Here is a 26,428-nt window from a genome sequence, read left to right as displayed (position 1 = left end):
TGTTTATTGGTTTATCAAATGACAGATATTTGAGTTGTTTCCACCTTTTGGCTTTGGCACGCACGCATATTTTAGTAGACTTTATTTTTAAGAGCCATTTTAGGTTCACAGCAAAATGTAGAAGAAAGTACAGTTTCCATACATCCCCTGTTGCCACAGCCTTCCCCGCTATCAACATCCTGCATCCATGGTAGATTGGGTATAATCAATGAATCTCCATTATCCCCAAGTCCATAGCACACATTAGGGTTCATTCTCGTACATTCTGTGGGTTTGCAAACATGTGCAATGACATGCATCCACTATTACAGTATCAGACAAAAGAATTTCACTGCCCTAAAAATCCCCAACCACTGGCAACCACTTATCTTCTCTATCTCCCTAGTCTTGCCTTTTCCAGAATGCCATGTTGTTGGGATCACAGGTGCATGGCCTCTGCCGATGGGCTGCTTTCACTTAGCCATATGTGTGTGCCTTTTGTCTGTTGTGCATAGTGTGGCTGTGAATATTCGTTCCTAAGTTCTTGTTTGCATCCCTGTTTTCAATCCTTCTGGGCATACACCCAGGAGTGGGATTGCTGGGTCACCCGGCAACTGTTTCACTTGCTGAAAACCCACTGGGCTCCTTTTACCCATTCTCCCTACCTCTGTGTTCCCATCCCTCAGAATCTGGTGGAAGCTGCCGAGGAGGCCGACCTGAACCACGAATTCAATGAATCCCTGGTGGTGAGTCCCACTCCTGGCACTGGTGCCAGAGGGCCAGGATCGCCTGAGTACCAGATATGGGGGTGGCGGCATAGGGTGGCGGCGTAGGGTGGCGATCCACTGATTCCATAGACATTTACTGCTCACCCCTCACAGGCACAGCAATGTGCTAGCCTCTGGATCGGAACTTGTTCTTGACCTCAAGAAGCTCACAGTGCAAATAACTCCGGTATAAAGCACATCACAAGTCACTACAGATGGGTGGATGGAGCCTCCGGGGAATGCAGGCTGGAGAAGAGGAGGTCTGCCCCCAAACTCCTGCAGACAGGGCGGCCTGGGGCTGCGCCCAGGGCTCATGGGGGATTTAGGCAGGCAGGGCCTGGAAAAGGGCCTTTGGTCACAGCAGAAAGAAAACACAGAAATAAGAAAACACGCCCAGGCGCGGTGGCTCACGCCTGTAATCCCAGCACTTTGGGAGGCTGAGGCGGGTGGATCACAAGGTCAGGAGATCGAGACCATCCTGGCTAACACGGTGAAACCCCGTCTCTACTAAAAAAATGCAAAAAATTTAGCCGGGCGTAGTGGCAGGCGCTTGTAGTCCCAGCTACTCAGGAGGCTGAGGCAGGAGAATGGCGTGAACCCGGGAGGCGGAGCTTGCAGTGAGCCGAGATCGCGCCACTGCACTCCAGCCTGGGCGACAGAGCGAGACTCCGTCTCAAATAAATAAATAAATAAACAAATAAATAAACAAACACCAGGTTGGTTGAGGAAACAGTGGGACCTGGGCCCTGTGTGTCCAGAGGCTGGTGAGGAAGGCAGTGGTCTTGGACAGTTAGGTGAGGAGGTGGGGGGAGCCTTGGGTGTCAGCGTAGGAGCCTGAGCCTTTCTCAGCAGGGAAAGGCAGGTGCAGAAGGCTTGAGCAGGGCAGGGACGCGGCTGGGAGTATGCGTGGAAGGCCAGCGCGGGCCACAGTGTCGTGAGGAGGAGCCGGGTGTGGGGTGCAGGAACCTGGCGTGGGAGTTGGCGTGGGGATGTCCGTGACGCAGTCCGGCGTGGGAGTTGGCGTGGGGATGTCCGTGACGCAGTCCGGCGTGGGAGTTGGCGTGGGGATGTCCATAACGCTGTCCGGCGTGGGAGTTGGCGTGGGGATGTCCGTGAGGCAGTCCGGCGTGGGAGTTGGCGTGGGGATGTCCGTGACGCAGTCCGGCGTGGGAGTTGGCGTGGGGATGTCCGTGACGCAGTCCGGCGTGGGAGTTGGCGTGGGGATGTCCGTGAGGCAGTCCGGCGTGGGAGTTGGCGTGGGGATGTCCGTGACGCAGTCCTGGGGGGTGTTCAGGTGTGAACCCGGTCGTGTGGAGGAAACGGGGCCGGGGCTCCACCGGAGGCAATCCTAGCACGCCCTCCAACACCGCGTGGGAGAGGCCGAGGGCAGCTGCGGGACTCGGAACCTGGGCCCCGTCTGAGGCCAAGGCTGCAGGCCCCAAGATTGCGCAGGCTCGGTTCTGGGGCTCTGGGACCTTCCTGGCCTGCGAGAAGTGGAGGGGGCTGATGGGGCTTTTTGTCTCTACCTGTCCTTGACTCCGCGGCTGCCTGTCTCCACTCTGCCTCGGCCGTGTCAACACACGCTGCACCAAGTTGGGGACTGAGGCAGCGGTCAGGACAACTGTCATCAAACGTCGGCCTCACGCCTCTCCGCGCCGGCCTCCTGGATATTTTTGTCCCGAATCGCCCTGATCAGTGCCCAGCGCGCCGCCGCGGGTGCTTGTGTAGACTCTGATGGCCGCCCGGCCCCGGCCCTCTCGTCCTCTCACCTGCGCCGTTTCTCTTCCTCTCTCTCCGCCTGTCCCGGTGCTCGGGCCGCCTCCGTGGGCCTCACCCGTCCACCCCAGTTCGACTATTACAACTCGGTCCTGATCAACGAGAGGGACGAGAAGGGCAACTTCGTGGAGCTGGGCGCCGAGTTCCTCCTGGAGTCCAATGCTCACTTCAGCAACCTGCCGGTGAACACCTCCATCAGCAGCGTGCAGCTGCCCACCAACGTGTACAACAAAGGTAGCCGGCACGCTCAGCTCAGGCACACTCACCAGGCACGCCCACCTAGCACACCCACCAGACACGCCCACCAGGCACACCCACCAGGCATACTCACCAGGCTGGCCCACCAGACACACCCACCAGACACGCCCACCAGGCACGCCCACCAGGCCGTCCACCAGACACGCCCACCAGGCACACCCACCAGGCACGCTTACCAGACACGCCCACCAGACACGCCCACCAGGCACCCTCACCGGGCATGATCACCATTTTCCTGAGAAGTTCTACAGGATCATAATCTATAGTCTCACCCTTCAGACCCAGATATTTTAAATGGAGTCTACATGTCTGAAGCCTTGAATGCTGTCTTCGTGGAGAACTTCCAGAGAGACCCAACGTTGACCTGGCAATATTTTGGCAGTGCAACTGGATTCTTCAGGATCTATCCAGGTAAGGACATGGAGTTGCATCTCCCCGACCTTCTGGGATTCTTCTCTGGAAATAATAGGGGCACTGAAGATGGACCCTGGCACTCAGGTCCCCAGTGAATGGGGCTGGTCCTCCTATCCCAAAGCATCTCCAAGCCCACACTTTAGCCCTTCTCACTGCATGATATGCACATATTAAAGGGCTGTGGAATGGATGAATGAATGAATGAATGAAACCATCAAACACCATGAAACCAGTCAATGAATGCCCACATGAAGCTCCTGTCCCATGAAAAGTACTTTGGAAGATACAAAGAAGGATAAAACAATTCTTTACCTTAAGGACTTTATGTCCCAATTGGAAAAATGAGGCGCACTCGCCAAGAGTGTTCAACAGCAATCTGGAAAATGGCACAGGCCACACTCTGTGGCTAGTGGCCAACTTAATAGAGTCCATCAATAAAAATAGAAAACACAGAGCACAAAGTTTCCAAGAGTTCTACCTCTTTTTGATTCCCATTTAAAATAAGTCAGCTCTCCATTTCACCCCAACCCATTTTTATAGTTTAGCACACAGTCCAGGAAGTCTTAAAGTTATCCCACTTTTCTGAAACAGGAAACCAGAAAGGCCCGAGAGGACTCCACTGTGTCCACAGGCTGGAAAGTCAATCTCTCTCTTGGAGTGCCAAGGGAACTCAGAGCTCCTGCAGTTCCCATAGTTGGCATTGTGTTCCTCTGCCAGAATTCACAGCTAGCTATTGTGGCTGTTTCGGTTCTCTGGAGCTTCAATGAATAGGTTTATCCTTCTTCCATGCAGCAGTTCACGTGCCCCTCTTGTCTACTCCAGGGTGGAATTCCTGTAAATATTCCTGCCACATCAGGGCTTCCAGAGACACCAACTTATATGTAAACAACACAGTCCAGATGTGAACGCATCAGTCAGTAGAGAGAGGCCATTTCTCACTATTTTGAATTGCACTATTTTTATTGTTGTTGAGTTTTAGGAGTTATCTGTATATTCTGAATATTGATCCCTTATCAGATATGTGATTTGCAAATAATTTCTCCCATTCTGTGGGCTGCCTTTTTACTCTGTTCATATTGTCTTTTGATGAACAAACTTTTAAATTTTTTCTGAAATCCAATTTGGTTATTTTATCTTTTGTTTTCTTTGCCTTTGGTGTCATACCCAAGGAATGACTGCCAACTCTAATGTCATAAAGTGTTTCCCCTATGTTTTCTAACAGGAGTTTTATAGTTTTAGGTCTTACATTTCCGTTTTTAGTTAATTTTTGTATATGGTATTTGGTAAGAGTTCAACTTCCGTTTTTTCATGTGGATATACAGTTGCCCCAGCACCTTTTGTTGAAAAGACTGCCTTTCTTCCATTGAATGGTCTTGGTACTCTTGTCAAAAATCATTTAATCATATATGTGGGGGTTTATTTCTGGGATTTTTGTCCTATTTTATTGGTCTATATACCTTTCTTTATGCCAGTACCATGCTGTTTTGATTACTGTAGCTTTTCAGTAACTTAAAAATCAGGAAGTGTGCCTCCATCAGTTTTTCTTTCCCCCCAAATTGTTTAGGCTATTTGGGGTTTCTTGAGTTCCATATAAATTTTAGAATGAGTTTCTCTTGCTCGTTGTGATTGTAATAGGGATTGCAATGAATCAGTAGACCACCTTGGGCAGTACTGACATCTTAACAATATTAAGTATTTCAGTCCATGAATATGGAATGTGTTTCCATTATTTCTGTCCTTAATTTCTTTCAGCAGTGTTTCATAGTTTTCACTGTACAGGTCTTTCACCTCATTGGTTAAGTTAATTCCTAAGTATTTTATTCTTTTTGATGTTATCATAAATAGGATTTTTAAAAATAATTTCTCAGATTGTTCACTGTTAATGTATAGAAATGCAACTGATTTTTGTGTGTTGAGTTTGTCCCCTGATACTTTGCTGCATTTATTTATTAGAACTAACAGTTTTTTGTGGAATCTTTAGGGCATTCTACATATGAGATCATCTGTGAACAGACATAATTTTACTTCTTTCTTTCCAGTTTGAATGTCATTTATTTCTTTTTTATGCCTAATTGCTCTAGCTAAAATTTCCAATATTATGTTGAGTAGAAGGGGCAAAAGTGGACATCCTGGTCTTGTTTTTGATTATAGAGAAAAAGCTTCTAGTCTTTCACCATAGAGTATGATATTTGGGATGTGATTTTCCATATATGATTTTTATATCAGTTTCATTCTATTGCTAGTTTTTTTAATGTTTTTGTCATCAAAGGATGTAGAATTTTGTGAAATGCTTTTTATGCATCCATTGGGATGGCCATGGAATTTTTTCCCTTCATTATGTTAATGTGTATATTACCTTGATCAATTTTCATATGTTGAACCATCCTTGCATTCCAGGAATAAGTCCTATTTGGTTATGGTGTGTAATCCTTTTAATATGCTCCTGAGATTTGCTTGCTAGTTTTATGTTTTATCCATGCTGCCAATCTCTGTGTTTTGATGGGAAAGTTTAATCCATTTATATTTAAAGTAATTACTGTTGAGGGACTTATTTCCATCATTTTGCTATTTGTTTTCTATAAGCCTTAAGCTTTTTTGTCCATCATTTTCTGCATTACTGTCTTCTTTTATGTTTAGCTGATTTTTTATAGGGAAACATTTAAATTTCTTTCTCATTTCCTTTTATATGTATTCTATAGTTATTTTATTTCTGGTTACCAGAGGGATTACATTTCACATCTTAAAATTATAACATTCTAATTTGGATTTATAACAGCTTAACTTCAATAACATACAAAAACTCAGCTCCTTTACAGCTCCTTATCTACCCACTTTGGTTGTTGATGTCACAAAATTCCTTCTTTATACATTGTGGTGCCCAAAACCACAAACTAATAATTCTGTTTTTTTAATTTTTAATTTTTGTGGGTATATAGTATGTGTATATATATTTATGGGGTATATGAGATATTTTGATATAGGCATACAATGTGTAATAATCATATCAGGGCAAATGGGATACCATTGCCTCAAGCATTTATCCTTTGTGTTACAAACAATCCAATTATACTCTTTTAGTTATTTTAAAATGTAAAATTAAATTATTACTAACTATAGTTACCCTGTTGTGCTATCAAATACTAGATCTTATCCATTCTTTCTATTCTTTGTACCCATTAACCATCCCACTTCTCCCCAACCCCATCGCTACCCTTCCCAGCCTCTGGTAGCTATTATTCTAATTTTTATCTCTATGGGTTCAGTTGTTTTAATTTTTAGCCCCCACAAAAAAGTGCGACGTGAAGTTTCTTTATGTACCTGACTTATTTCACTTAACATAGTGGCCTCTGGTTCCATTCATGTTGTTGCAAATGACAGAATCTGATTCTCTTTATGGCTGAATAGTACTCCATTGTATACATGTACCACATTTTCTTTATCCATTCTTCTAATGTTGATGGACATTTAGATTGTTTACAAATCTTGGCTATTGTAAATAGTGCTGCAGTAAACATGGGAGTGCAGATATCTCTTCAATATACTGATTTTCTTTCTTTTAGGTAGATACCTAGCAGTGGGATGGCTGGATCACATGGTAGCTCTATTTCTAGTTTTTTGAGGAACCTCAAAACTGTTCTCCATAGTTGTTGTACTAATTTACATTATTATCAACAGTGTATGAGTGTATGAGTTTCTCCAAGTCCTTGCCAGCATTTGCAATTGCCTGTTTTTTGGATACAAGCCATTTTAATTAGGGTAAGATGATATCTCATTGTAGTTTTGATTTGTGTTTCTCTGATAATCAATGATGTTGAGCATCTTTTTATATACCTGTTTGCCATTTGTCTTTCTTCTTTTGAGACACGTACATTCAGATTTTTTCCCATTTAAAAATCGATTATTTGATTTTTTTTCCCACCGAGTTATTTGAGCTTCTTATGTATTCTGGTTGTTAATCCCTTCTCAGATGGATAGGAGTTTGCAAATATTTTCTCCCATTCTGTGCATTGTCTATTTACTTTGTTGATTGTTTCTTTTGCTGTGCAGAAGCTTTTTAACTTGATGTGATCCCATTTATCAATGTTTGCTTTGGTTGCATGTGCTCATGGGGTATTACTCAGGAAATCCTTGCCCAGTTCAATGTCCTGGAGAGTTTCCCCAATGTTTTCTTTTAGTAGTTTCATAGTTTGAGGTCTTAGATTTAAGTATGTAATCCACTTTGATTTGATTTTGGTGTATGGTGAGCGATAGGAGTCTAGTTTCATTCTTTTTCATATGAATATTTAATTTTCCCAGCACCATTTATTGAAGAGACTGTCCTCTCCCCAATGTGTGTACTTGGCACCTTTGTAGAAAATGAGTTCACTGTAGATGTATGGATTCATTTCTGCACTCTCTATTCTATTCCATTGATCTATGTGTCTGTTTTTATGCCAGTGCCATGCTGTTTTGGTTACTATAGCTCTGTAGCATAATTTGAAGTCAGGTAATGTTACTCCTCCAGTTTTGTTCTTTTTGCTCAGGATAACTTTGGCTCTTCTGGGTCTTTTTTGGTTCCATATACATTTTTGAATTGTTTCTTCTATATCTGTGAAGAATGTCATTGGTATTTTGATAGGGATTGCATTCAATGTGTAGATTGCTTTGGGTAGTATGGACATTTTAACTATATTAATTCTTCCAATCCATGAACATGGAATATCTTTCCATTTTTTGTGTCATCTTCAATTTCTCACATCAATATTTTATAATTTTCCTTGTAGAGAACTTTCACTTTTTTGGTTAAATTAATTTCCAGGTATTTTATTTTATTTGTGGCTATTGTAAATGGGATTACTTTCTTGATTTCTTTTTCAGATTGTTTGCTGTTGGCATATAGAAATGCTACTGATTTTTATATATTGACTTTGTCTCCTGAAACTTTACTGAGTTTGTTTATCAGTTCTAATAGTTTTTTGGTGGAGTCTTTAGGTTTTCCTAATATAAGATCATATTATCTGCAAATAAGGATAATTTGACTTATTCCTTTCGAATTTGGAGTCCCTTAATTTTTTTCTCCTGTCTGATTGCTGTGGGTAGGACTTTTAGTACTATGTTGAATAATGAAAGTGGTGAAAGTGGACATCCTTGTCTTGTTCCAGATCTTAGAGGAAAGGCTTTCAGTCTTTCCCCATCTAATATGATACTAGCTGTGGGTCTGTTGTATATGGTTTTTATTATGTTGAGGTATGTTCCTTGTATACCCAGTTTTTTTAGGGGTTTTACCATGAAGAAATGTTGAATTTTATCAAATGCTTATTCTGCATCAATTGAAATGATCATACAGTTTTTTTCCTTCTTTCTGTTGGTAAGATGTATTATATTGACTGATTTGCATTTGTTGAAACATCTTTGCATGGAATAAATCCCTCTTAGTCATGATGAATGATCTTTTTAATGTATTGCTGTATTCAGTTTGCTAGTGTTTTTATTGAGGATTTTTGCATCAGTGCTCTTCAGGGATATTAGCCTGTAGGTTTTTTGTTTGGTTGGTTTTTGTTTTGGTATGTCTTTGTTGGGTTTCAGTATCAGGATAATGCTGGCCTTGTGTACTGAGTTTGGAAGTATTTCCTTCTCCTCTATTTTTCATAATAGTTTGAGTAGGATTGGTATCAGTTTTAGTTCTTTTTTAAATTTTTGGTAAAATTCAGCAATTCTGAAGCCGTCAGGTCCCAGCCTTTTCTTTGCTGAGAGACTTTTTATAATGACTTCAATAGCATTACTTGTTATTGATTTGTTCAGGTTTTGGATTTCTTCATGGTTCAATCTTAGTAGGTTGTATGTGTCTAGGAATTTATTCATTTCTTCTAGGTTTTCCAATTTATTGGCATATATTTGCTCATAGTAGCCTCTAATGATCCTTTGAATTTCTGTGGTGTCAGTTGTAATGTCTCCTTTTTCATCTATGATTTTATATATTTAAGTCTTCTTTCTTTTTTTCTTAGTGGAGCTGAAGGTTTGTCAATTTTGTTTATCTTTTTTAAAAACCAACTTTTCATTTCATTGATCTTTGGGTTTTTTTATCATTTCAATTTCACTTATTTCTGTTTGATCTTTATTATTTCTTTTCTTCTACTAACTTTTGGTTTGGTTTGCTTTTGTTTTTCTAGTTCTTCAAGATGTATTGTTAGATTATTTAAAGATTTTCTACTTTCTTGATGTAGACACGTAAAGCTACAAACTTCCATCTTAGTACTGTTTTTGCTGTATCCCACAGGTTTTAGTATGTTGTGTTTCCATTATCATTTGTTTCAAGAAATTTTTCAATTTCCTTCTTAATCTCTTCATTGACTAAATGATTATTCTAGAGCATATTGTTTAATTTCCATGTTTCTGTATAGTTTTCAAAATTCCTCTTCTTGTTGAGTTCTAGTTTTATTCCATTGTGATCAGAGAAAATACTTTATGTTATTTCAATTTTTTTGAAATGTTTTAAGACTTATTTTCTGGCCTAAATGTACTCTATCCTTGAGAATGATCCATGTGCTAAAAATAATTTGTATTCTGTAGCCATTGAGGGAAATGTTCTGTAAATATCAATTAAGTCTATTTGGCCCGTAGTGCAGATTAAGTATGATGTTTCTTTGTTGATTTTCTCTCTGGATGATTTGTCCAATGCTGAAAATGGGGTGTTGAAGTCTCCAGCTGTTATGTATTGGGGTCCATCTCTCTATTTAGCTCTAATAATATTAGCTTTATATATCTGGGTGCTCCAGTGTGGGGTGCATATATATTTACAATTGTTATATCCTCTTGCTGAATTGACCTGTTTATCATTATCTAATGACATTCAAGGAATGGAATTGCTAGGCCCTAAGATATGTGGGCATTCAACTTTGAAAAGAAAATTCCAAATTGGTTTTCCAAAATACTCACACCAATTATATTCCCACAAGCAATGAATAAGAGATCCCACTGATGCACAATTTATCTAACTCTGAATGTTGTTAAAAGTTTTTTGTTGGTCAGGTGCAGTGGCTCATGCCTGTAATCCCAGCACTTTGGGAGGTCAAGTCAGGAGGATTGCTTCAGCCCAGGAATTCAAGACCAGCCTGGGTAACATAGTGAGACCTCATCTCCACCAAAAATTTTTTAAAAATGAAAATTAGCCAGTCGTGGTGGTGTGCACCTGTGGTGCTATTCAGGAGACTGAGGTGGGAGGATCACTTGACCCCAGGAGTCTGAGGCTGCAGTGAGCTGTGATCATGTCACTGCACTCCAGCCTGAGTGACAGATCAAGACCTTGTCTCAAAAAAACAATTTTTATTAACAATTCTTTAGTATAAAATAGTATTTCATAGTGGTCTAGCATTGCATTTCCCTGATCACTCATGAAGTTGAGCATTTCTTTATATGTTATTAGCTGTATGTATATCCTCTTTTGTGAAATGCATATTGTCTTCTGCCTACTTAACTATTGAATTTTCTAATGTTAACCAATCCTTGCATTCCTATGAGAAACCTAACTTGATTATAGTAAATTATCCTTTTATGCATTACTAGATTTGGTTTATTAATATTTTGTTTAGGATTTTTGCTTCTATATTTATAAGTGAAATGGTCCCTTAATTTTTCATTCCTTTACTATCCTTGTTAGGTTTTCAAAATTATACTAGCTTCATAGAATATATTTGGAAGTAGTCCCTCTTTTTCTGGTTTTTGGAAGTATTTGAATAAGATTAGAATGATCTTTTCCTCAAATGCTTGATAGATTTCATCTATAAAGCATATAGGCCTGATGTTTTCTTATGGGAAGATAAAATTACTGCTTTGATTTATTGATCACTTGTAATGCTAATGTGGCTTTCTATTTCTTAGAATTTGAAGTACTTTTATTTAGAATCCATCCATTTTATCTGACTTTTCAAATTTATTTGTATGAATCTATTATTCTCTTATTATCATCTTTTAAATCTCTGCTGTATCTGTAATTGTGTCCCCTTTTAATTTACAGTATTATGCATTTTTTCTTTCCAATTCCCTATAGATTTCTTTATTTTGTTAGTCTTGTCAGGAATCATCTTTTGTCTCCATTGACTGCTCTTAACTATTTCTCTATTTTCTATTTCATCTATCTTAGCTCTTTCTTATGTTCTCCTTTCCCTTTCTTTGGGTTTATTTTGTTCCTCCTCCTGACTTCTTAAATGAGACACATAGCTTTAAGTTTTAGCCTCCCTGTATTTCTAAAATAAATGTTAAGTCTACACTATGCCACTAGAAGCTCTGTTTTTGCTGCATCTCACAGGTTTTGATTGGTAGTGAGGTTTTTTAAATTTTATTTTTATTTATGGCAAAATATATATAATATAAACATTTACTATCTTAACCATTTTAAGTGAACTTATTAAAAGTATCGCTGATAATAAGTGCATTCTCATTGTTGTGCAACAATCACCACCATCCATCTCCAAAACTCTTTTTATCTTGCAAAACTTTATACTTATTAAACAATAACTCTCCATTCTCTTCTCCCCCCAGCCTCTGGCACCCTCATTCTATGCCAATCTCTATGAATTTAACTATTCTATGTACAACATATAAGTAGAAACATACAGTATTTGTCATTTTGTGATGGGCTTCCTTCACTTAGCATAATGCCCTTAAGGTCCATCCATGTTGTAGCATATGTCAGAATTTCCCTCCTTTTTGAGGCTGAATAATATTTCATTTTGTGTGTATACATATATATGTACACATACACACACACACACACACACACAGAGTTGTGGGAATGTAAAAGGATGCAGCCTCTATCACAAGGGTTCCGACTTTTCTAAATCCTTGCCAGCTTGTTATTTTCTGCAGTTTTCTTTTTGTTTAGTTTTTTTTTAGTTTTCCTGGTAGTAGCCATCCTAATGGGTGTGAGGTAGTATCTCATGGCAACTTTGATTTGCATGCCCTTAATGATTAATGACTTTGAACATCTTTTCATGTGCTTATTGGCCATTTGCTCATCTTTGAGAAATATCTGTTCATGTTCTTGGCTCATTTTTAAATCAGGTGTTGTTGTTGTTGTTGTTGTTGAGTCATAGGAGTTCTTTGTATATTCTGAACATTAACCTCTTGTTGGATTGATGATTTACAAATATTTGCTCCCATTCTATGGGTTGCCTTTTCACTCTGTTGACTGTAGCCTTTGATACATACAGGTTTTTAATTTTGATGTCCAGTCTATCTATTTTTTCTTTTGTTGCCTGTAGTTTTGGTATAGAGGTAGTGTTTTAATTATCATTTGCTTCTAAATATTTTGAAATTTCTTTGTGATTTCTTCCATATTTCAGTTATTTAAAAGTGTGTTTTTAAATTTACAAATATGGGAATGTAGATAAATATTTATATTTACCTTTTTATTCTAAATGTTTAACTCAGTTGCTTTGTGGTCCAAGAATTTGGTGCATATACTATGTGAAATTAATTTAAATTTATTTTAATGGCTGAGTATGACATCAAGTTTTGTAAATATTCCATATGTGCTTGAGAAGAATATGTGTGCTCTCATTGTTGGATGAAATCTTCTATACATGCCATTAGATCAAGCTTGTTAACTGTATTGCTTAAATTTTCTGTATCTTTGCTGATTTTATATTTGCTTGATCCTTATTAACTCCTACAACACTTTTTATTTTAATGTGTATTTTGTCTGATAGTCATAGAGTGACACCAGCATGCTCATGCTTAGTATTTACCTGATATATACTTTTTCCTCTATCCCTTTATTTACGAACTTTCTGTCATTTTAGCCATATCTGTTGAAAATAGTTTATAGCTTTTACATTTTTATCCAAACTGGCAATCTCTTTTACTAGTTAGCAAGTTAAGCATATTTACATTTATTGTGAACATTGGTATATTTGAATGTGCCATCATCTTATTTTTACTGATACATAATACTTGTACACATTTATGGGAATATGTAATATTTTGTTATATGCACAGAAGGTGTAATGATCAAGTCAGAGTATTTGGGGATGTCCATCACCTGGAGTATTTATCATTTCTATGTGTTGGGAACATTTCAAGTCCTCTCTTCTAACTATTGTGAAATATACAATGCAGTGCTAACTATAGTCACCCTACTCTGCTATCAAATATTAGAGCTCATTCCTTCTATCTAATTGTATGCTCGTGCCCACTAACCTTCCTCTTTATTCCTCCCCCACTCACCCACACACATTTCCCAGACTCTGGTATCTGTCATTCTACTCTCTACCCCCATGAGATCAACTTTTTTAGCTCCCACATATGAACGAGAACATGTAGTGCTTGTCTTGAACTCGTGGCCTCAAGTGATCCTCCTGCCTCAGCCTTCCAAAGTGCTGGATTACAAGCAAGAGCCACCGCTCCCGGCCCAGTGTTTGTTTTTCTATGCCTGGCTTGTTTCACTTAACACCCTCCAGTTCATCCATGTTGCTGCAAATGGCATTTCATTTTTTTGGTGGCCAAATATTCCATTCTGTGTATATACCACATCTCCTTTATTCATCTTTTGATGGACACTTAGATTGATTTTGTATCTTTGCTATTGTGAATAGTGCTGTGATAAAGATGCCAGTGCAGGTATACCTTTGATAAACAGATTTCTTTCCCTTTGGATAAATTCTAGGTAGTGGCATCATATGGTAGTTCTATTTTTAGTTTTTTGAGAAATCACCATATTGTTTTCCATAGTGGCTATACTAATTTACATTCCCACCAATGGCATATGAGTTTCTTTTTCTCTGCATCCTTGCTAGCATCTGTTTTGTGTGTGTGTGTGTGTGTGTGTGTGTGTGTGTGTGTGTGTGTGTGTGTTTATTAATAGCTATTCTAACTGGGATGAGATGATATATCTTTGTAGTATTGATTTGCATTTCCCTCGTGATTCGTGATATTGAGCATTTTTTCATATATCTATTGGCCATTTGTATGTCTTCTTTTGAGAAATGTCTATTCATGTCTTTTGAGAAATGTCTATTCATGTCTTTTGCCCACATTTCAATGGGATTATTTGTTTTGTTTTGTTTTGTTTTTACTGTTGAGTTGTTTGAGTTTCTTAGATAGTCTGGATATTAGTCCCTTGTCAGATGAATAGTTTGCAAATAATTCTCTCATTCAACAGGCTGTCTCCTCATTTTAGATTGTTTCCTTTGCTGTGCAGAAGCTTTTTAGCTTAATAGAGTCCCATTTGTTTGTTTTGTTTCTGTTGCCTGTGCTTTTGAGGTCTTATCCATAAAATTTCTGTAGAGACTAATGTTCTTAAGTATTTCCCCTACGTTTTCTTCTAGTAGCTTTATAGTTTGGGGACTTACATTTAAGTCTTTAATCCATTTTGAGTTGATTTTTGTAAATCATGAGAGATAGGGATCCAGTTTTATTCTTCTGCATATGGAAATCCAATTTTCCCAGCACCATTTATTGAACAGATTGTTCTTTTCTTGTTGTATGTTCTTGGTGCCTTCGTTGAAAATTAGCTGGCTTGAGGCCAGGCATGGTGGCTCACACTTGTAATCTCATCACTTTAGGAGATCAAGGTGGGAGGATCATGTGAGGCCATGAGTTTGAGGCCAGCATGAGCAGCATAGTGAGACCCCTATCTCTACAAAAAATTTTAAAATGTAACCATGTGCCATGTGGTGGCACATGGCTATAGTCCTAGCTATTTAGAAGGCTGAGGTGGGAGGATTGCTTGAGCCCAGGAGTTCAAGACTGCTGTGAGTCTTGCACGCCATTGCACTCCAGCCTGGGTGGCAGAGCAAGACCCTACCTCTAAAAACTAATTAATTAAGTAATTAATTTTTAAAAAGAAAATTAGCTGGCTCTAAATATATGGATTTATTTCTGGGTTCTCTATTCTGTTTCATTGGTCTTTGGGTCTGTTTTTATACCAATATCATGCTGTTTGGGTTACTATAGCCTTGAAACATACTTTGAAGTCAGGCAGTGTGATGCCTCCAGCTTTGTTTTTTGTTTTTGTTTATGTTTTTGTTTTTACTCAGGATTGCTTTAGCTATTCTGACTTTTTTTTCCATTCCATATGAATTTTATGATTTTTTTCTACTCTTGTGAAAAATGGCATTGGTATTTTGATAATCATTGCATTAAATCTGTAGATTGCTTTGGGCAGTATGGTCATTTTAATTATATTAATTATCCCAGTCCATAAACATAAAATCTTTTCATTTGTATCCTCTTCAATTTTTTTCATCAGTTTTGTAGCTTTCCTTATGCAGGTCCTTCACCTTCTTGGTTAAATTTATTCCTAGGTACTTTTTTGGTAGTTACTGTAAATGAGATTGCCTTCTTGATTACTTTCTCAGCTAGTTCATTATTGGTATATAGAAACACTACTGATTTTTGTATATTGATTTTATATCCTGTAACTGTACTGAATGTATTTATCATATCTAAGAGTTTTTTGGTGGAGTCTTTAGGTTTTTCTAGATATAAGATTATGCCATCTGCAAAGAAGAGTAGTTTGACTTCCTCTTTTCCAATTTGGATGCTTTTTATTTCTTTCTATTGCCTGATTGCTCTGGCAAGGACTTAGAATACTATGTTGAATAGGAGTGGTGAAAGTGGGCATCTTTTTTTTGTTCCAGTTCTTAGAAGAAAGGCTTTCAGATTTTCCCCATTCAGTATGATGTTACCTGTGGGTTTGTTATATATGACCTTTATTATGTTGAGGTATTTTCCTTCTATGCCTAGTTTGCTGCGAGTTTCTAATCATGAAGCAATGCTGAATTTTATTAAGTGCTTTTTCTTCATCTATGAAGATGATTATATGGTTATTTTCATTCTTTTGATGTCATATATTACTTTTATTGATTTGCATATGTTGAACCATCCTTGCATCCCTAGTATAAATCCCACTTGATCATGGCATATTATATTTTTGATGTGCTGTTGGATTTGGCTTGCTAGTATTTTGTTGAAGATTTTTTGCATCTATGGTCATCAGAGATACTGGCCTGTAGTTTTCTTTTGTTGTTGTTGTGTCTTTATCTGGTTTTGATATTAGAGTAATGCTGGCCTCACAGAACGAGTTAGGGAAAATTCCATCCTCTCCAATATTTTGGAATAACTTGAGGATAATTGGTGTTAGTTCTTTGAAAGTTTGGTACAATTTGGCAGTGAGTCTATCTGGTCCTAGATTTTCCTTTGTTGGGAGGCTTTTTATTACTGGTTCAATTTTATTATGTGTTATTGGTCTGTTCAGGTTTTCTATTTATTTCAGTTCAATCTTGGTAGCTTGTATGTGTCCAGGAATTTATCCATTTCCTCTAGGTTTTCCAGTTTGTCTTAGTGTATAGTTGCTTATAATGGTCTCTATTTATGTGGTATTCATTGTAATGTATGCTTTTTTCATTTCTGATTTTGTTCATTTGGGTCCTCTCTCTTTGTTCTTGGTTAGTCTAGCTAGCAGTTTATTGGTTTTATCTTTTTCAAAAACCAACTTTTCATTTTGTTGATCCTTCATAATTTTTTAGTCTCTAGTTTGTTTGTTTCTGTTCCAGTATTTCTTACTTTTTTCCATTCACTAATTTTAGGTTTGGTTTGTTCTTGCTTTTATATTTCCTTGAGGTGTATTATTAGATTGTTAGAAATCTTTCTACTATTTGATGTAAGCACTTATTGCTACAAACTGTCCTCTTTATACTGCTTTTACTGTATCCCACAAGTTTTGGTATATTGTTTTTCAATTTTCATTTGTTTCAAGTAAGTTTTAAATTTCCTCCTTAATTTCTTCCTTGACCCATTGGTCATTCAGGTGCATGTTGCTTAATTTTCATGTATTTGAATAGTTTCTAAAATTTCTCTTGTTATTGATTTCTAGTTTTATTCTATTGTAGTCCGAGAAGATACTAGAAATGATTTCAATTATTATTATTATATATTTTTTTGAGATGGAGTTTTGCTCTGTCACCTAGGCTGGAGTGCAGTGGTGTGATCTCTGCTCACTGCATCCTCTGCCTCCTGGGTTTAAGCAATTCTCTGCCTCAGTCTCCCAAGTAGCTGGGATTACAGGCGCCCACCACCATGTGTGGCTAATTTTTTTTGTATTTTTAGTAGAGATGGGGTTTCACCATCTTGGCCAGGCTGATCTTCAACTCCTGACCTCGTGATCCACCCGCCTCAGCCCCACAAAGTGCCGGGATTAATTTACTGAGACTTGTTTTGTGTCTTAATATATGATCTGTCCTGGAGAATGTTTCATGTGCTGGTGAGAATAATGTGCATTCTGTGGCTGTCAGATAAAACGTTCTGTACATGCCTAGGTCCATTTAGTCAAATGTGCAGTTTAAATCCATTTTTTTTGGTAATTTTCTGTCTAAATTATCTACATAATGCTGAGAGTGGGGTGTTTACGTTCCAACTATTATTGTATTGGAGTCTGTCTCTCCCTTTAGATCTAATAATATTTGCCACATATATCTGGGTGTTCCAGTGTTGGGTGCACACAGGTTTAGAATTGCCATATACTCTTGCTAACTTGATCCTTTTGTCATTATATAATGACCTCCTTCATCTCATTTTTCTGTATCTGTTTTTGACTTAAAGTTTGTTTTATCTAATATAAGTATAGCTACTCCTGTTTGCTTTTGGTTTCTGTTTGCGTGGAATATCTTTTTTCTTCCGTTTCATTCTGTATATGTCTTCACAGGTGAGATGAGTTTCTTCTAGGCAGCATATAGTTGGTCCCTTTTTTTTTAAACCATTCAGCTAATCTATACCTTTTAAATAGAAAGTTTAATCTGTTTACATTCAAGGTTATTATCAATATGTGAGAGCTATTCCTGTCATTGTATTAATTGATTTCTGGCTATTTTGGGTATCCTTTGTTCTTTTCTTTTTCTCTTATTGTTTATCATTCTGGTTTGGTAGTTTTCTGTAGTGGTAACATTTGAGTCCTTACTCTTCCTTATTTGTGTTTGCTCTGCCAGTGAATTTTATACTTTCATGTGTTTTCATCATGGTAGATATTGTCCTTTCTTTTTCAGGACAATTCAAGAATTTCTTGTAGAGCAAGTCTAGTGGTGATGAATTCCCTCAGCTTTTGCTTATCTGGGAAATATTTTATTTCTCCTTTGTTTATAAGGAATAACTTTGCTGGGTATAGTATCCTTGACTAGCAGTTTTTTTCCTTTTCCAATAAATTTGAATATATCATCTCATTCTCTCCTGATCTGAAAGGTTTCTGCTGAGAAATCCATTGCTAGTCTCATGGAAGTTCCCTTGTAAGCAACTAGACAACTTTCCCTTGCTGTTTTTAGAATTCTCTCTTTGTCCTTAACTTTTTACAGTTTGACTACAATGTATTTTTGAATTATATCTGTTTGGGGATCTATGAGCTTCCTGTGTCCTGATGTCATAATCGCTTGCTAGACTTGGAAAGTTTCCAGCTAGTATTTTGTGAAATAGACTTTCCATCCTTTTTGTTTCTTTTGCCTTATGGGACACCAAAAATGTGAACATTTGGCCACTTAATGATGTCCTATATGTCACATAGGCTTTGTTTATTCTTTTTTTAAAGAAAATTTTTGTCTGAGTTATTTCAAAAGACCTGTCTTCGAGTTCTGAAATTCTTTCTTCTGCTTGATCTAGTCTATTGTTAACGTTTACAAATGTATTTTGTATTTCATTTAATGAATTCTTCAGTTTCAGAATTTCTGTTTGGTTCTTTGTAATGATATCTATCTTCTTAGCAAATTTCTTATTCATATCCTGAGTTTTTTTTATTTCTTTGCATTGCTTTTCTGTATTCTCTTGTATCTCACTGAGCTTCTTTAATATTATCTTAAATTCATTTTCCGGTATTATATAAATTATTTTTTTATTGGAATCTGTTGCTGAAGAATTATTGTGTTCTTTGGAGGTGTCGTATTTCCTTGCTTTTTCATATTTCTTGTGTCCTTACATTGATATCTGTGCATCTGGTGTAATAGTTGCATCTTCCCATTTTTAAAATTTGCTTTTATATGGGAGGACTTTTTCCTAAAGCTATATCTATGGTGTTGGTTGGGTAGGACATTTTGACTTTGATCTTAGACACATGCAGTAGTGTAGTCTCAATATGATTTCTTCAGCTATAAACAGCGTCTGTGGTGTCTGTGATTTCCTCAGTGGCTTAGGGTGGCATTGTTAGTGGAGGCTGTGGTGAAGTTTTTCTGGGGACAAGGATGCCAGATGATCCTGTCCTTGGGCCCCAGTTGTGGCAGTGGGCTGAGCATGCATGTCCTTGGGTCCCAGGGAGGTGTACACTGGCACTGGTGTTAGTGGGTCCAGACAGGCCAATTCTTGGGCCTCCAGGTGGCTTGCTCAGGGGACAGTAGTAGTAGTGGTGGGCCAGGCTGTTGGGCAGGCTTTCAGTCCCCAGAGAAGTGGGTGTGGCAAAGGTGATGCAATCGTTAGCAGTGGTGGGGCAACCCTCTGCCTCCAAAGTGGTCTGTGCTGCTCTTGGCAGTGGCTGCAGTGAGCTGGGCAGTTCAGTCCCCAGGACAGTGGGTGACATGTAAGGGTGGGTGCAACCTATGGTGGTACCAGGAAGTTGAGTGGCCCTGAACTCAGGACCCTGGGAGAAGTTCTCAGGTGCCAACGATGGTAGAGTGGGCTGGGCAGTTCCCAGGCCCCAGACAGGATACTGGCACTGGATGGGGGGAACAGAGAGCCAGGTCAGGTGGACCTGTCCCAATGCCCTCTGCTGGGGCATGCAGACACTGGCTGTGGTAGGCAAGGGTGGGGTGATCCCTTGGCCCCTGGTGGAATGCTCGGGTTGGGGCAGCAGTGGCTGTGTGGCAGCCCTGCTATTGGGGAGGGTGAGGTTGCTTTCAGTGGCAGCAGCCAGATGCAGGCGGCTGGCGAATGCTTGCTTCACTTGTGCTTCATCCCTGTTGGCAGCAGCCCACAGTGCAACGGCTGTACATGGAGGATTTTGTCTTCAGGGTGCATGAAAATTTGTGGTGATTTCACTGCCAAGGGCAGTGGGGTTATTGCCAATAGCTCACGCTTCAGCCCTGGTGGCAGCATCCAGCCATGGTGGTGGCTGTGGGAAGGAAATGTCAGTGGTTCTCCAGGGATATGAAGATCCAGAAGCTGTTGGGCCCCCAGGCAGGACGCAGTCTGGTGGAGTCTGGACTCTTGATATCGTGCTGTGCTGCAGCTGCTTAGAGATCTGGGGGTGTATGAGATCCAGTGTGAGCTCCCTCTCTGGAGCAATGCCCTCACCCAGGCTCCAGGCAGCTCCCTATGTTAGTCTTAAGGCCTACAAGAGTCTAGAGGCTCTCCTGCGGCTAGGATTGCAGGAATCCATGGTGGGAATGTGGACTGCTGGGGGTCTCTCACTTATCCTTTCATTGCATTGAGCAACCTGGAGAGGCTCCCAGCCAATCCTGGCCAAGCAGGGTGACTTGCTTCCGTCTCCTTCCTTGCTTTAGGTGTTTCCTGTCACTTCTCTGTTGAATTCCAATGTTCTCTCTTGGATGATCTATTCAAAGTGTGATTATCTACCTGCTATTTTTGTCCTTCTTTGTGGAGGAGGAAAGTACCAGATGCCTCTAGTCAGCCATCTTGAAGTCTATTATCTTATTTTTTAAATTTTTACTTGTCCTGGTGTTTTTATATTTTCTTTTTCTCCTTTTTTCCTTTTTAAATACTTAACATTTAAAAAATAAATTTCCCCAATATAACTTTTTTTCTCTCTAGCACTTTAGAACTTGTCCCCTTGTTTTTATTCTTTCAGTTATTACCCCTGAAGTCTTATCAGGCATATTTAATACAATAACATTTTAAAATTAAGCTGGGAACTTGGTTTGTACCTATAGTTCCAGCTACTGGGGGGGGCGGCTGAGGCAGGAGGTTCCCTTGCCCAGGAGTTCAGGACCATCCTGGGCAATATAGCAGGATCCCATCTCTAAAAATAAAAAATTAAAATTAAATAATATTTTTGCTCTCTACTCAGTCAACAAAGGCCTTTAGAACTTTTGTGCTTCCATCTCTTTATTCTAGACTTCCATTCTATTGTCAATATTTCAAATTTTTCATCCCCACAAATCAGACACACAAGTATTGTTATTTGATATAAACATCACTTACTTGGAATTAATGACTTATTTACCATTTTATTTGTTCACCATTCCCTCATGCATGTGAGGATGTTTTTCCCATATCATTCCCCTTCTTCTTAAAGTAAGTCCTCCAGAAGTTCCTTTACAGTGGGGACTTCAGTATAAACTGCTTTAGATTGTGTTTATCTACAAATGTTTCCTTTTATCCTCATTCTTGAATGATAGTTTTGCTGACAATGCAATTCTAAATCAATAATTCTATTCTCTCAACATCTTAAAACTGTTTATCCACTGTCTTCTGGCTTTCATTGATGTTGGGAAAATCTACCAGTTTAACTGCTCTTCCTTTGTAGGTGTCGTGGGCTTTCTGGCTGCCTTCGTGGTATTTGTTTATTTATTTATTTGCCTTCGAAGTTCTGCAGTTCCAATACTATGTGTCTATATGTGGATATCTTTTTATTCATGCTGTTTGGGATACGCTGTGCTTCCTAGATCTGTGGAATTGGATTTTTAATCAGTTCTAGAATATTTGCCAGTATCATCTCTTCAACCATCACCTTTCCTCCATGCTCTCCCTTTTCTCTTTCTGTGACTCCAATCAGATGTGTATTAAACCTTCTCATTCCAGCCTCAGTAGAACTCTGGATACATCCACAAATGTATGCATTTTCTTTTTACCCATGAATAAAGCACTATCCATTTAATTTATTTTTTTCAACCTATACATTTTTTCATCTCCGAAAGCTTCATATTTGCAAGGCTGTTTCTTCATTCCTGGTCATTTCTTGTATGTTCTTTGTATTATGTGTTCTTCTCATACCTACCTAGTTTGTGTTTGGTATTTGGCCATTCCAACATCTGTAATTCTTGAGAAGCTATATCCAGCTCTTGAGGTAGCTCTTGAGTCTGCTGCCTCCCACTAATAGGGGTCTGCTCCTTATGTATTTGGGAATCTTTGCTTGTGAGGCCATGCTGCTTGTCCTCTTCAGAGTCCAGTGGGTCTGAGTTGGGAATCCACAAGAAAATTCGCTTCTGTTTCCGCTTGGACTTGAGGGTACCCTCATCCAGGACCTCCAAAGTCCTCTTCGAAGATTTTGGTTAAGAGCCAGTAATCTCAGACTCAGCTTCTCCTCCTCATTGCTGTTCTAAGGATCAAATTCCCCATGACCATGTTGCTGTAAGAATGTGGCCTCAGGAAAGCCCTACCTCCCATGACTGCCTGCAAGACTAGGTCAGACCAGTGGTACTCAAGCTCCCATCACACCACACTCCCATGGCTCTGCTTCCCACCTTCAAGGCTTTGGGTGCTAGCTGACCTCACACATATGCCTCACGCCTGGGGCTCTGTTCTCATTTGTTTGGTTTTGAGATCATGGTCTCTGACAACCTCTCCTACCTTTGAGATGCCAGCAATGCCTCAAAGGGTGTATGTCATCTGAAGTCTAACCACTGTGGAGGAGGAAGGGCCCTTGGAGCTTCTAGACATTCATAATACTGCTACAATCATTTTGTCTATCCCAATCACAACATATTGCAATTCCACCTGTTATTTTTACTCTTCTTCTTTTAAACCCACTATTCCCAATCATAAAGTCTTTTCAAATCGAGATTCTATTGTGGATCATGTCAGTGTTTTCTGTGCATCTATACAAATTTTTTTATTAGGTGGATAGGATAAAAATCTACACCAGCATTCTGCTACTGGGTCAACGCAAGATCTTTCATATCCATTCATTTGTCCTTTCATTCAAGTAACAGACATTTATTAAGCATATACTCTGCTGGGTTCTAGGAATCCCTGACCTCAAAGAGCCTACAGTCATAGAGCCAAATCATTTCTCCCATCCCAGCCAACAGGAAGGATCCTGAGTGCTAATGAGCTTAACACCTAGAGGCAAGTGTGTTAGAAGTCAGAGCACTTGCCTTTTTCAACATTTTGTCCACACTTTGCTGGATGGTAATGGATGTTAAAAGTCACACTTCTCCAAAGCTTCCCCCTCCACTATTTGATATGAGGTTTTGCCTCACAAATGAGTCCCAGGCACCACCTATGTGGTCCTACCTGTGAAATTACCCCCAGCTCTGCATCTGGGCAGTTTGGCTGGTAGATGTCTCCTTGCCAGCTTGTCTCAGTCTACAGGGCATGTCCCAGTGTTCCCCACCCTGTTCCCTAGCTCCAAAGCTGTTCTGCCCTGGGGATCATGGCCATCTTGGGGGTCCACACCCAGCCAGGGGATCTGGGGTGGCCTCACCAAGCTAGTAAAAGAACGAGTCTTTATTCTCCCAGGTATAAAATGGACACCTGATGAGAATGGAGTCATTACTTTTGACTGCCGAAACCGCGGCTGGTAAGAGCTCACAGGGGAAAGGTTTGCGGCCCGGGTATTTATCTCATAGCTTTTGGGTTTTGCCTCATCCTCCTCCACTTCCGCCCCTTCCCCCACCGCCACTCAAGGGCCTTGGGTGTGTAGAACCCTAGCCCGACACAAGAGCAGGAAGAGGGCCAGCATTCCTCCCTTCCCTCTACAATTGCCTTGCTCCAGGACTGATCATGTTTGTCTTTCCCAACCTAAACCTCCTGCCAGGACACTGAGCTGTCTCCACGTCAACCTTTTGTTAGGCTCTCCTCTCCTTCCACACCCCTTTTGTGGCAAGTTGGTAACAGAATCTGAAGCCCAGCTCTCTCCCTTTCTGCTGCCAGCCCCTCAGGGACCCCGGTTGGTCTAAATCAAAAGGAACAAGCGTTACCTCCAGGGCTTGACCTGGCCTGTTAGGTGGCACATCCCCAACCACTGCCACCCCAGATGGCTTCAGCACTGTGTCAAGTGGTTATGGAACATGTGAAACCTGGCATAGATGGGTTGCCCTGAACTTTGGGTGGGCTCGAGCCAGCATCTGAACAGAAATAACTGCAGACCCCTTGGTCAGGTATTGGTTCCGGCTTTGGTTTTCCCATCTTGGGCATGTCCCTTTCTTCCTTCAGGTACATTCAAGCTGCTACTTCTCCCAAGGACATAGTGATTTTGGTGGACGTGAGCGGCAGTATGAAGGGGCTGAGGATGACTATTGCCAAGCACACCATCACCACCATCTTGGACACCCTGGGGGAGAATGACTTCATTAATATCATAGCGGTAAATGTGCCTTCCTGTTCTAGAATAGCTCTCACTTGCTCTAGAAATCATACACAGGTACCAAGGTGACCCACAACCCCTGACCACCCGGTGACCTGCATGAGTGTCTTTGCTGGGCCTGGACTTTGCAACCTGATGCTGTTTATTCTCCCCCCACCTCCCCTCAACTCACTGCAACTGCAGTACAATGACTACGTCCATTACATCGAGCCTTGTTTTAAAGGGATCCTCGTCCAGGCGGACCGAGACAATCGAGAGGTGAGTGTCCACGGTGGCCTGAGACTTCCAAGCCCCTGCTCTTGTCTGGATGGTGGGCGGTTGTCTCTGTAGACTGTTTCTGTGGCCCTTTTTGCTTATTCCCATGGCACCTGGAATGAGAGCAGAGCACGTTACCCATGCAAACAACCCAGGGAACCGCCCTGTAAACACACTGCTGCTTATCAGAGCAAACAGTGAGCAGATAGAGACCTCATAGCAAAGGGAACCTTCCTTATTCAGGACTGGTTTTTCACCCTGTGGATTATATAGGACTCAATTTCCCCTTTTGCCTCCCACCTGGACCTTTCCATTATGTCAGTTTTCATGAGAAGCTTCCCCGAAAGGAGGACAAATTTAAACTTCATTGAGTGTCATCCTTTCCTCTGGTAAAAGACCAAGGAGGAGAGGACATGGCAATAATTTTTTAAAGAGAGCTTTTGCACATCATAGATTCCTCCCTCTGTGATGGAGGAGTTGGGGTTTGAGTTCCTCTTGAAGCCGGGCCTCTGCCCTGGGCACCTCCACACTTTCTGCTGTGAAGTGTGCACCCCTGGGCTGCGGGCTGCGGGCTGTGGTCTGGGAGCCGAGGTTACCCTGCCTCCATCCCAGAACTGTCCTCCCCCTGTACTCAGCTTCACACTTGGCGTTTCCCATCAATAGTGGCCATGGATGTGTACCAAGTCATTTCCCCTCTCTCAGTTTATCTTGGGGACATTTGAGAAACACCTATTGTAGAGGACCAGTCCATGAACTGCATCATGGAGACACAGGCCCTGAAATCATGTCCTTCTGGATGGCCCTAAACAGCCTCCCAAATTAACACCAAACATGAAGCTCCACTGGCCCACTCAACCCCCTGATGCTTCTCTAATATCTCACCCATGGCAGCATTTCAAACTGCTGGTGGAGGAGTTGATGGTCAAAGGTGTGGGGGTCGTGGACCAAGCCCTGAGAGAAGCCTTCCAGATCCTGAAGCAGGTGCCCACTGTAATGAGGCCTGGGAGGGGAGGACTGGGAGGAAGGCGGCAGGTGGAGGGGGGTGGGCTTGGCCTGTGGTCATGGGCACTCCTCTTCCCTACACAGTTCCAAGAGGCCAAGCAAGGAAGCCTCTGCAACCAGGCCATCATGCTCATCAGCGACGGCGCCGTGGAGGACTACGAGCCGGTGTTTGAGAAGTATAACTGGCCAGACTGTAAGGTGACCCTCCCACGGGTGTCCAGGGAGAAAAAAGCTTCTCCTGCTGCCATGGATGGGATCACCAGCAGGGACCCTAGAAGGATGGCCCCCATTCAAATCTGCTTTCCTATTAGAGCCATTCTTGCTTTCAGATGCATTTTAATTGAGTGTTCCAAAATTATGGCTACCCGAGACACAGAGGCCTGATGTAGGAAGTTTGGGGTAAGGGACCAGAATATGGTTTGGGGACATCAGAACTGCCAGGCTGTAAATCTCAGCCTTGCACCTACCCGCAGTCCCCATGGCCCTGGGCGAATTGTGTTGCTGCCTGGGCCTCAGGGGGTGAAATTGGAGAACCCGAAGACTGAGAGGCACTGGGGCCAACATCTAAGACTCATATAAACAATGTTAACATTACTTATGGCCGGGAATTTTGCTGCTGAGTGCCTCTGTGTCTTGTGGGTTAGGTCCGAGTTTTCACTTACCTCATTGGGAGAGAAGTGTCTTTTGCTGACCGCATGAAGTGGATTGCATGCAACAACAAAGGTGAGTGCCGGGCCAGCAGGTACCTTCCCACCTGCACCTG

General features: G+C 40.8%; 1 protein-coding gene and 1 long non-coding RNA gene across 6 annotated transcripts in view; one reads left to right on the top strand and one right to left on the bottom strand.

Moving 5' to 3' along the window:
* Positions 1–26,428, top strand: part of CACNA2D4 (calcium voltage-gated channel auxiliary subunit alpha2delta 4) — a 126,690-nt gene that overhangs the window by 8,022 nt on the left and 92,240 nt on the right. For 4 of the 5 annotated variants that reach the window (NM_172364.5, XM_047429897.1, XM_047429899.1 and 1 more), the window contains exons 4-12: positions 666–725; positions 2,594–2,756; positions 3,060–3,191; positions 23,562–23,622; positions 24,258–24,408; positions 24,592–24,666; positions 25,555–25,644; positions 25,750–25,863; positions 26,310–26,388. In NM_172364.5, the coding sequence (NP_758952.4) occupies positions 666–725; positions 2,594–2,756; positions 3,060–3,191; positions 23,562–23,622; positions 24,258–24,408; positions 24,592–24,666; positions 25,555–25,644; positions 25,750–25,863; positions 26,310–26,388 (925 nt within the window). Of the gene's footprint in view, positions 1–665; positions 726–2,593; positions 2,757–3,059; positions 3,192–23,561; positions 23,623–24,257; positions 24,409–24,591; positions 24,667–25,554; positions 25,654–25,749; positions 25,864–26,309; positions 26,389–26,428 lie in introns of all 5 variants that reach the window. The other variant, XM_011521041.3, reaches the window with a different exon arrangement.
* On the bottom strand, positions 21,189–26,425 carry LOC124902858 (uncharacterized). The gene is made up of 3 exons (XR_007063158.1): positions 26,328–26,425; positions 24,581–24,776; positions 21,189–24,375 (listed from the first exon to the last, which is right to left on the bottom strand). It is a non-coding gene; the product is annotated as an uncharacterized LOC124902858 (long non-coding RNA).

This window comes from Homo sapiens, chromosome 12 (assembly GCF_000001405.40).
Source record: "Homo sapiens chromosome 12, GRCh38.p14 Primary Assembly".
Taxonomy (NCBI): Eukaryota; Metazoa; Chordata; class Mammalia; order Primates; family Hominidae; genus Homo; species Homo sapiens.
Note: the sequence above shows the minus strand (reverse complement) of the source record. Positions and strands in the feature narration are given on the sequence as shown.